The following is a 12,342-nucleotide window of genomic DNA, read 5'->3' as shown; positions in this document are numbered from 1 at the left end:
TGATTCTCAGAGGTCAGACGCTTTTCATTTTCCCTCAATCGCCTCTACTCCACCTTCTTGTTGTTCTGCCGCTCCGTCCCTTTCCTTAAGAAGATGCTGAAATGTCCTCCAATTATGCAAGTACCTCCATCCCTGGATCCCTCAGCCACGCTCTCTCCTTCCTTAGTTGAGCTTTGGAGAGAATAATCTCCAGTTGCTGGTGCCACATTTAAGGTTTTGGTTCCACTCTGAACTACCACGATTTGACTTCCACACCCACTATACCTACATTATCCTCACTGGAAGCTTTTTCTCTGAGATGGGGTCTCACTATGTTTCCCAGGCTGGTCTCTAACTTCTGGGCTCAAGCCATCCTCTCACCTCAGCCTCCTTTCTGAGTGCCGGGACTACAGACACGGGTATTGCTGTACCCAGCAACTTTTGGAAGTTTTTGACTCTGCTGATCACAGTATGTCTCTTTTGTTGTCTTTTGTCAATTAATCTTTTGGGTTTTTTTTGCCTCTATAAAAGGTCCTTCGTTTCTTTTATTGGTGCTTCATCTATAACCTTATGTTAAATATTGGTGAGCTTAGGATTCTAGCTTCACTCCTCTTCTTTTCTCATTCTATTTGCTTTCAGAAAGAGGTTTAATTCTGCCCTGTGGCTTTAACTGCAATAATATAGATCACAGAGTAAATATTTTTACACAAAATCTAATTGAATTTCATATATATATATATAATATATATATAATTGGCTAATAAATTACTGAAACTTGATGGCCCACAGACACATCAAACACTATGTCTTCTCATGTGAATTACTAACTTTACCATAGACAAAATACTTTAACTTTCAACTTGGATTATACCATCACTCACTGAGTCTCTCATGTTGGGGAAGACAGTCTCTTTAAATGTTTCTCTTCCCCCAATTAATCATCAAATCTTGATTCTACTTAAATGGGTCTCCCTTTCCTTTCTGGTTTTTGATCCAAACTTTTCTATTTTCCTATGTTGATAATTATAATACTATCTAACTGGCCAATTTGCTTCCAAGTTTGACCTCTAAGTCAATTATTTTCCATTCAACAAAACCTTTATTTCCAGGTTCAGGTATTAGGTGAGGTGAGCACAGAGGTACAACAGTGAACAGGGCCATGTCCCCAGGGAGGTTGCTCTCCTTGAGGAAAGACAGTTAATATTCCACACTGCTTTCAGGGTACTCTGTAAAACGGAAACATGACCATACTATTCCTCTGCATTAAAATCCCTCAGAGCCTCCCCATTACCTGCAGGAAAACGTGCAAATCCCTTAGCATCACCATGAAGACTTTGCTCGGGGGCTACTTTTGTAGCCTCATGTGTCCCAGGCATCAAACTCCTTGTGGCTTTTGGAGCATCCCCAGGGAAGTTACACATTCTCCTTTGCTGTTCTGTCTAAATCTCGAATTTCTCCACATCCTTTAAGCCTCTGGTCCAACGCTGCTTCCTTCCTTCTTTGTGAAACATTCTCTCCTCTCCTGCCCCCAGTCTCTGTTGGCAACAATCGGCTCTGGGCTGACACTGACTCTGCATATTCTGTTGTAATAACACTAACCACATTAAAACCTAATTACACGCCTACTTGCCGGTTTGCCCAACCACCCTGTGAGCTTCTAGACGTCAGGGAATACATCTTACTCATTTTTGTTTTTCCAGCACCTGGTACCATATCCAGCATTTATGATTCGTTGAATGAAGACTTAGTTGATATACTAAATAAGAAATCTATTCAATAAGTTACCCTTTATTTAGTTTTCAGGTTCTGCGTGACTAAAGTCAAGGCAATAGTCATCAGACATTTTTAGTTGCTCTTTTCTTAAGTGTATACGCATTTCTATCCATTTTAACATGCATTCAAATAGGTTTCACGTTTAGTTTGCGTACAGCCTATTTATTATGGAAAACGATCTCGTCAACTGATAAATATAAGAAAATTTCAATATACTGAAGTTAGTATTCAAACCATTCAGTAAATAATGTACAAGATAATCATGTATAAAATTATATGTGTATGTAATGTTAATAAACAGAATTATTATGATTTGAGAAGAATATTCTTTAAACAACACCAAAAAAACCCTCAGTTAGCTGCTTTTCCGACACTTGAGTGCTCACGGAATGGCAAATAAACGAAGGTTCTATGGCTCTAACACTTATTTTTTCTATTTCAGTGATAATTACATCAATAAACCTGATTCAGCACTCACTGCTATTCAATTCATTAATTAAAACAATTTTACTGCTACCACTGTGATTTTTCAAGGATATCAAAAACACATTCAAAAATCAAAATAGCATACATCATCAGTTTTGGTACATTCATAGCATGCTTCACTTTAATTTCAACTCTACAACTAAAAGAACATTTAGAATTGAAACAGAGATGGCATATATTCTGTATACTTTAACAAAAACACTTAGAACACAAATCGAGCTTAATAGAAATGGCAATTTCCATGTGAAGCATAGCAAACTGCCAAGCTTTCTGAAAATCCTCTTAGAACAGAAAAATATGAATGTATATAAATACTTAAGCCTGTAGTAACAACAACAGTAGTGAACTTTACAGTTGTTTCAGTTCTAGTTTCATAATACTAAATTTTTTAGGATTTTATTTAAATCGTAACTTTTTTTTTTTTTTTCCAGCTGGAGTATCCCTGTTGTTGCCCAGGCTGGAGTGCAGTGGCACGATCTCGGCTCACTGCAACCTCCACCTCCTGGGTTCAAGCCATTCTCTGCATCAGCCTCCCGAGTAGCTGGGATTACAGGCATCTGCCACCATGCCCAGCTAATTTTTGTATTTTTAGTAGAGATGGGGTTTCACCATGTTGGCCAGGCTGGTCTCAAACTCCTGACATTGTGATCCACCCGCCTTGGCCTCCCAAAGTGCTGGGATTACAGGCGTGAGCCACCACGCCCAGCCAGTTAAATCATAACTTATTATACTAAAAAGTGACTTGTACATACCCATGAAGTGAATCTATTTCATCCTTAAATGAAACAGGGAAGCTTTTGCTCAAAGAATGACAAGTCACTATTGAAATTGTAAATGTATATCTATCAAGGCAATGTAGTTATTTTTATATATCAGGAACTATTTGACGGCATTTTGTAAAGCAGCACTTTAATTCTGAGCCTGATTTAGGAAGCCCACCGACATATTACGTTTGCTATTTTTGACATTCTAGTGCACATAAAACATAAAATATAATTTATCACAGGAGACCATGCCAGAAATGACCATTACATGCCGGAAGAGGGCCCACAGTGAAATTTATATTCAAGCTATAGTTTAGTATGTATAATAGAAACTCATAAAATTAGAATAACACTGAAATGCCATGTGTTTCTTACAGCAACAGAATTCCATTTTATGTCTTTCAATCAACAACCAAAGTAGGCTCAGAAAAGGTTCCTGGATAAAGCTGAAGGAATGGAATAATGCTAGTGAGGTGAAAAAGTACACCTCTCTTCAAATCATCTTCAGAATTCTAAGACAGTACCCCTTCCTCCAAAGATCTAGGAGAGATGTGGCATTTGTGTTGTCCTAGAATGATCGCAAGTACATGACATAGCTGGCTAGCAGTTTCTCTCAAACTCTCCTAGAATTTGATCAGCACTGGAAGAGCTACAAGTCCGTCTATTTCCTCACTCTCTCACCTATCTGCAGTTGTTCAGGAAGAGAAGAAATGGCACTGCCCTCCTTTCCAGATAACATATTCTGCTTGACAAGAAAATCTGGATTGCAAAATAGCTGAAGTTCTCTCTTTAGAGATTGATGGAAATGCTATCACTACAGTCATTTATCAAATTGGTTTGAGGGGTACGCCTTTTTCCTCTTAAAATACAATAATGCAACTTTTAGACTTTATCTCTCCATACAGAAAGTAGACTTAAAATACCATTTCAAAGGACAAGTGAAATTGGTTCCTTGAAAAGTGTTTCAGCTGTGCAAAGTGTCTATTACATTTAAAAAGACTGCACTTTAATGTTATACCCTTTTTCATTAGCCAAATTAGCCCATAATACTTCAGTATCATGCACAATTAATGTGGCATTAGTGGGGTCCGACAACAGGTACATTGCTCAAACTTAGGTGAGAAATGAAGTCTTCTTGGAATGATTTATTTTATTGTGTGAACTGATGAGCATCAGTTAAATTGCCTGTTAATTGACCAGCTGTCTAAGTAACATGCCTTTGAGGGAAACACTAATTTTGAAATTTTCTTTGGCCAGGAGGGGAAGGAGCATGCTAAAATCTTTGAAGTCTACAACCATCAGACTAATTATCAGCACCATTCAATGTACATTCATTTAATTACAGTAAATTAAAAGGGATGTGGGGTTTTGGAGAAAAATAAGAGAGTCAATAAATGGTGACAGAAATTCCAGACTGCACAAATGATCAGCGCCCTTTCTGGAAGACACCGTGAGTTCTCCTCCATCTTGCCAGAACACTTGATGAATGCAGCCCTGGGGTGGGGTGGGGTAAGGAAGGAGGAGTGGGGGAGGGGAGGAGGAGATATCTATTGATATCTATAGATATCTACCTAGTCCAAACTAGGTAGGCACTTGATATTGTTTATTTAACTTAATCTTCATAGCCACATAAACAGATATAATTTTCCACCTTTTACAAATAATAATAAGGGCACACACTTATTCGGAACTCACTAGATGTCAGGGAGTTTTGTAAGCACCAGGCATACCTGAACTCACTTAATGCTCACAACAGCCCTGACCTCATAGGACTAGAGCCCTGTTTACTGCTGTCCCTGTTTTACAACGTGGAAACCATGGCACGGAATGGTGAGCAACTTGCCCAAGGTCTCAAAGTCGGGAGGTGGTAGTGCCCATACAAAACCAGGAGTCCCGCCTCCGGGCATCACATTCGCAAAGACTGTCCTCAATGGAGGCTCTCGGGGTCCTGAGTCACGAGGAGGTGGAAGAGCAGCGCCAACGCCTGCTGGCCTGCCTTACATCAAAGGTCATCTTTCTCCAAGAGGGCTAACAGGCTGAGGAGGCTGGAAGAAGGAACTAGACTCCAACAGGAGAGCTCCGCCCCTCCAGAACTCGGCAGGCAGCTGAAGGAGCAGACAAGGCATGCAAGAGTTGACAACTGCCACTCTAGGTGATTCAGGGGGTAACTGTCACAGGGGATGAATGAAAGAATGTGAGCCCTGACCAGTGTGATTCCAAATCCAGGCACCTGTGACAACGTCGCACCGGCTGGATGACAAAAAACAATAGATGCCTGGCTGCTTCTGGGAAGCGATGCATACGCAAACATTTTATTTATTTATTAAATCACAAAACTAACTTTATTACATGTTTTCCCACTTACATTTCTTTGCTAAATATCTTCACTGTCCTGATGACTTCTGGTTCTTATTTCCTTGATACCAGGGGCAACCTTACCCTTCTTTGGATTTTCTGCACATCTCTTGACACTGAGTTACTCTCCATGGAAACATTTTTAAAGCTTAAAGACTGATGTTTTGAAAAAATAAAAAAAAGCCCTTTGTTCCTGACGTTTAAATAGGTATTTGGAACTGAGGTCAGATTATAGCACTTGCAAAGCTGGGTGGTGGGACTTCAGTCACGGCTCTTTTAACAACACGTCAGTGGCCGGGCGCGGTGGCTCATGCCTGTAATCCCAGCACTTTGGGAGGCAGAGGCGGGCAGATCACGAGGTCAAGAGATTGAGACCATCCTGGCCAACATGGTGAAACCCCGTCTCTACTAAAAATACAAAAATTAGCTGGGCGTGGTGTTGTGCACCTGTAATCCCAGCTACTCAGGAGGCTGAGGCAGGAGAATGGCTTGAACCCAGGAGGCAGAGGTTGCAGTGAGCTGAGATTACGCCACTGCACTCCAGCCTGGGCGACAGAGCAAGACTGTCTCAAAAAACAAAACAAAACAAAACAAAAACCACATTGGAGACAGGAGAGATGCCTACAATAAACCAGAGCACACTGAGAATTCTACCTTTTACTGGGGTATCCCATCACACTGATTTTATAACCTTTCACCCATTTTTACTCAAACTGCTGTTAGTAGGTGATCCCAAATCACCGTCTCTCCAGAACTTGCCCTGGTGTGTGGCAGTCCACTACAAAAACACCACCACAACAATCAATGGGTGCCAAGAAAGGGCTTCTCCCATATCCTTCATTTGGAACAAGATTAATATTTGGGATTACACAGGAAACTCAATATATACTGTAAAATATTTTTTTCCTCAAAATGCTTTTTAATGTCAACTCCCCATGGCTGGTGAAAAGTTAGTTTTGCAAAAGAATAAATCTTATCACTTGTTTTGACTCTCAGCTAACAGAGAGCTGTGTGACACGGTCCGAATGTTCTCTTACTCTTGTGGGAGGCTCGGGCCATCAAAATTTCATTAGCCTCACAGCAGTTCTAGCACCTTCTTAACTTGAACTGTTGGCCTCTTTATCAATAAATAAATGGAATCTAATCCCTTTTAGTGACTAAATTCTTCTTTGAAATTGTAGCTAGAACATCAGGCACTCTGCTTGCATAATTTTACAATGTTGAATAACATTTTTTTTTTTCTGGGAAAAACAGCCTCATTCACAGTTATTTCAAATGAAGAAAACAGTCAAGGCAAGCTCTCATGTTAAACCAGATGAAAACACATCAGCATCTGGCTCTTAAATTCGTTTCCTTTTGGTGAGTTATTTCATCCATCTCCTTCTCTTTTCAACCTTTAGTGATACAATAGAACTTCCAAGAACACATCTCAAGCTAGTATAAAAATGAATAAAAGAGAAAATGAAAAGAATTGAAGAGTCAAAAGAAAATATAACCAGAAAATCTATAGCTTTTTAAGTTAGAGCAATTAAAAACACCTGAAGATAGTAGAATTGAATTATTTTTGTTAACTTTATATTAGAATTACTTGACTAAAAGTAGTAATATAGGTAAAAATGTGAATTAGTTTTGAGACGATTATTTATAAAGTTGTTAGAAGAACCTATGTATGACTGCAAATTTCACTTCTTACTATAACCCAGCTTAAGGGAAAGACACATAATTTTTTAATATCAGGAAAAAAATCCTCAGTGCTATTGTTTAATTCCACAATTCAAAATTATAAGGTCTGCTAAATACTTCAGAAAATTATGCTTCCCTATATCTTAATGTAATTAATTACATTAAATGAAATCTTGTTCCTTCTAAGTAATCGCTGAAATTTCAGAACAAATAAATTAATCTGAAAAGTTCCTATGGACATATGTTTGAAATATATGCAATAGCCAGTATTCATTAAGACAACGTATCTATTTTATTTCCTCTTTTGTTTCTTTCTTTAAACTGCTCTCATTTGGAATTCTTAGACCATCAAAACGTTGTTTAAAAGTACAACCACAACCAAACCTTCGGAAAAAGAGTAAACACAAGTTTAAGTCATCATGTTGCCCAGCTCAACAAACATTGCTTTTGACACTTTATACTCTTAACTTGGCTGACCTATTTACTCTCAACAAATGCTGCCAAATGTTCTGAATTTCAAGGCAAGGCCCTTGACACTCTCCCTGTCTCTCTTCATTCTGCTTCCTAGCCACTACTTGGAGAAATTAAAGAGTGCAACTTTTCTTGCCTTTACATCACTCTAAGAACAAGGTCTACAAGATTCCTGGGGAAACAATTTCCTCCTCTAGTTAATATTAATCCATGCGAATGGTGAGGGCAGTGGTATGAGAAACTCACAAGTCTTCCTTCCCTTCTCCCTAACATTTGGATATTATGTGTCGTTAACTAAAGGTTACAAAGTTTATATTTTCCAAAAAGAAAAAAAAATACATATGTTTGGGGATCCACCATGAGATCCTTTTAGCAGATGTATAATTTTAAAAATCATAAAATTAATTTATATTTTACCAATACAGATACCATAACAAGACACCTTTGTTATTAGAGAGAAAGGATGAGATGCCATAGAAGGTTTGTTTGGAAAGTGCACACTGACCCAATGTTAAAACATATTTGATAGCTATGGATGTGGATGATCTATGATGCAGATAATCAGAACTGATCGCATTATCCTGCTGCATTCTAGTCTTCTATAACGTCAAAGATTTTATTGTGTATTTTAAGAAAATTAAATGCTGGGTGCTACCTTTGAATATGACCATGGTACCTGCCATTGCTCAAGGAGTGCTATGTGAAGTACAGCTGGACAGGAAGCAATATTTATTCCAAATCATACGTATTTAAGGTTAGTGACTTCTGAATCCACTATGAAAATGGATAGAAACACAGGATTTACTGAGGTGAATGGATTAACTGAGAGAAATGTTGGCATCCTGATTCTGAGGCTCATTTTATCAAAATAACTGTCCTTGTTTCTTCTTTTGAATTGGAATAAAGCCAGCCTCCACCAAGAACTGAAACTTCCAAATGAAGATATTGAGTATATAGCTATTATTTGATCTTGACTTTGGTTTAATGCACTAAGATATTCTACTTAGGATAAGAAATTGATTGCATTGGTTTAAATTAGACCTTTTTTCATGAATAGAAAGAAAATAACTAATAAGCCTTAGGTGCTGCTTCACACTGTGACTTAGCTGAAACTGAAAGCTAACAATAGATCCGCTTTCCTATTACAAAGCAAAGCTGACAAAGTCACCCAATAAATAATAAAATTGAAATATCATTGATAAAACAACCATTTTTCTTTTCAAATGTCATGCAATTCTTTCATTTTAATTTTCTCTTTGCTTTTTGATGCATAGGATATGCATAGCATTAATAACTAGACTGAAATAGCAAGTGCACTGTTAATATTAAAAGCGGAAGGAGAATTTTTTGTTTGCTGCATTGCTGCTGATGCCCCAATTCTTCCTAGAAGCAGCACTGACTAAAAATTAAGTTTTCTTTAAAATGTATTATTGCATATAAATTAACTTTTAAAAAATCATCCCGCATTGGCAATAGGAAAAAAAAAGTCCCAATAATTTATAAAGACTTTTTTTCTTACAATATACAAAAAGCTGCTATTTGGATATCCTAAAATCCAATTTTTGTGTGTGGATTTAATTGCTTAGTAATCCAGTCCCCAAAGAACATTAAAGGCCACACTCCCCCTCTTTACCAAGATTTCAATTGCTCTCATCAACTCTTAAGTTTAAAGCATGATCATATTTGTTCTTCAATCACTAGAGCCCTGTTAATAAACTATTCTGCGTGCTCACTCATCCATTCTAAGATTTTGCAACTTCTTTGAGATATCTTCAAGAGGAATCTACAAAGACATCTTTGATTGCAAGACGGCTCTGGGGTAAACTTTATCAACACGTGCTTTGCCACCCCACAGAAGACAACAGGTGACATGGTCCAAGAGAAGTCAAAGCTATTTTTTTTTTCTGTAGATGATTAACCTGTTTTTCAAAACTATAGCCAAAACATTGTAGACTGCTTGCCTAATTTAACAATCTGATGTCAAATATTGATTTTTTTTTCCAGGAAAAAATGCATTATTCAAGGACATTTCTTGAGTTCTACTACATTAAAACAAAAAGAAATGGACAAGAAAGAGAGAGAAAGAAGGATGAGAGGAAGGAGAGAAAGAAAAACATCCCCCCCCGCGGAGTCAACCAAAACAGACAGAAGCACTGAATGCCAACATTATAAAGCCAAAAAGGAAACTTACCATTCTCACTGTCGGACTTGTTTTCGTGCTCCGTATCTGTCAGGGTGAGGGCTGAGTTGGACCGACTTGACAGGCAGGAGCTGCGGCCTGATTTGACCCCCCTGCCCCAAAGTCTCATGGCATGCTCTGGGGACATCACTGCTTCATTTTCAGTATCAGCATCTGACCCTGCACTGATAGAGTAACCTCTGTGAGGGAGCCCCATTTCCGCACAAAATGCCAGTCCTCTTCGAGTTGCTGGTTCACAAACTCCTAACTGCCTTAGGGTAAAATTCTGTCCTAATTAGGGGGAAAAAAAGATAACAACTAGTGAGTATATGTTCAGTGTTAGTTTCTTTTCTTTTTTTTTTTTTTAAGAATGTCTTTCAGAAATAAACACTCAAACATTTAGGCTTTTCAGCGATCAGCACCAGGCGTTTACAGTAGCGTCACACGGCATAGGATCAAGTGGGCGCAATTATGGGAGGAGGGCGGGGCCCCAACTTAGAGCTCCTTTGTCAACTCTTTAAGCCCATAAGTACCTCCAGAGAGATGGGCAAGTAAAGTGGCCCCAACCATGAGAACTCAACCCAGAGAAAGGATTAGTGCAATGATAGAATTTTGTTTAGCAGACTTGTGAGGCAATGGAAATTGTCAGAATTATTTTCTGTGTCCTGGCTCGAGTCCCCAACAATAAAATTTTCCCACCCAGATGTCACTCCTTTGGAAGAGAAAAGTTTCCCTTCAAGAATAAGTTACTCAAACAGTAGAAACAGGAGCTTGGTCATTCTTCTTATATTTTTCCGCCTTGACTTAGCAATCAACATAACACGTAGTATTTTGTATGTATGTATGTATGTATGTATGTATGTATGTATGTATATATGTGTGTGTGTGGGGTGGGTGTATATACACATTAAATGTTGGAGTATAACGTCTAAAAAATTTGCTGCATATTTTGTACATTTTTGACTTTCTAGGCTTTTTGCTTTACTACACACCTGAAAACATCTGTATTGATCAGAGTAAACCAATCTTTGCAAATAAAGTGCACTCTAAAAATAAAGTGGGAGTATTACGTATTTAAAAATTAATGATAAAATCAAGTTCCCTGAAAAATAAATGGCTGTGAACTCTGCAGGCCTTTACTAATAAATTGAGCATAATAAAACTCATGACACTGCAATAACTTAAAGCAAAAGTGTTTAAATTAGGTGACACTTTAAAATGACTGCTGTTATTAATGACTTTTCCAATCCTGTATTTATTCTGGAAATTTCACGTTTTATACTACTATGGATGAGAAGAGTGAGAAAAATGTTTGCTTGTCATGCATACATAAAGCTTTTCTATTTCTTGTCTCTGGTTGACATGGTAGAGTGTGAGATTTAGGTGCCAATCAGAATCAAAATATAGGTAAAGAATAGTAACCTACAAAGACTGATTTAAATGCTGCTATCTCATAACCAAACCTTTTAAGTATATTAAGCATTTATATTACTCATAGTTTTGATTTCCCTACTTCTACCTCTTAAATCTGTGAACATTTTAATGCTAATAGGTTGATATGAGAAACATACATTATATTTTTTGAAAGAGGGTATTATAAATTATTTGTGATAAAATGATACCATGTTGAATCTTCTCGGAAATAAATCAAACCTAATGGACAATGTAGTAAATATTGGGTTGTAAAGATATTAGCACCCTCCAGGCTGCCACACATTTTAACTAGTGTGGTTAATTGCTTTATTGCTGTGGTCATATCAGAAGTTGGAATCAGCTTTATCTCGGTCAGACTTCCAAATGGATTCCGACAATGACACTCATAAATAATGAAAATCAGTTGCTACAATTAGCTGCAAATCAAAGTGTGCTTATCAGAGAGATGTGAACACGTATCTGAACCAAAAAGTATGTCAAAAGAAGAGTAAAAGAAGAGAAAAAAAGGAAAAAGCGCCTGTGCGTTGAACAGTGAGAAGGCAGGCAAGCTCACTGAGATGAGACTCAGTATTGTTAGCATGTTAAAATCATTACTGCAGATTGTACTTATAAAAGTAAATCTGAACAAGGTCAGTGTCCACATGAACAGTTAATGGAATTGCTGTGGAAGAGCTTACCCACTGCTATTTATATGTCACTTGTAACATACGGGAGGACTCTAAAACGTGTAGATATTGCCATCAAACATGCTGATTTTTCAAAATAAGGATGCAAAATAATTTTTAAAGAGGGAAAAATAAATAAGATCCTTTGTTTTTTGCCTCTATTTTGAGAGGTGCCCACATTCAGAAATGAAAAGAGAAATAAAAGGCCAGTAACAACTCTCTTTCTAATCTCTACAATGTGGCTTGAAACAATTTCCAAGTGATTGGCTTTTCACACTATTGCCATCTTGATGCAAAAAATCTATGAGGTGAAGGAAGCAGAAAACTGTAATCTTTGTTACCCAGGTATGTAAACACAGTTCACTTTGCAACTAAAAACACAACACATCATCCCTATGAATTGATATACGTATCCCAAACTCCATAAATACTTCCCTCCATCGACTTCCCTCTGAAGTCAATGTCTTACAATGATTCAAAATTCTCCAGGGCTGCTTCTGAAATGAAGCTATGATGCAAGCACCATAGCAGGAGTCCCTGTTAGATTTCCTTA

The 12,342-nt window shown here is 37.7% G+C and overlaps 1 protein-coding gene across 24 annotated transcripts in view; it reads right to left on the bottom strand.

Moving 5' to 3' along the window:
• TENM3 (teneurin transmembrane protein 3) overlaps positions 1–12,342 on the bottom strand; it is a 1,355,412-nt gene that overhangs the window by 446,393 nt on the left and 896,677 nt on the right. For 18 of the 24 annotated variants that reach the window (XM_017008385.2, XM_017008389.2, XM_017008390.2 and 15 more), the window contains one exon: positions 9,703–9,981. The exons of the other annotated variants lie outside the window; for them this stretch is intronic. In XM_017008385.2, the coding sequence (XP_016863874.1) occupies positions 9,703–9,981 (279 nt within the window). The remainder of the gene's footprint in view (positions 1–9,702; positions 9,982–12,342) is intronic. 24 annotated transcript variants of the gene reach the window in all.

Source organism: Homo sapiens, chromosome 4 (genome assembly GCF_000001405.40).
Source record: "Homo sapiens chromosome 4, GRCh38.p14 Primary Assembly".
NCBI lineage: Eukaryota > Metazoa > Chordata > Mammalia > Primates > Hominidae > Homo > Homo sapiens.
The sequence above is the reverse complement of the archived record's forward strand: the minus strand, read 5'-3'. Positions and strand labels throughout refer to the sequence as shown.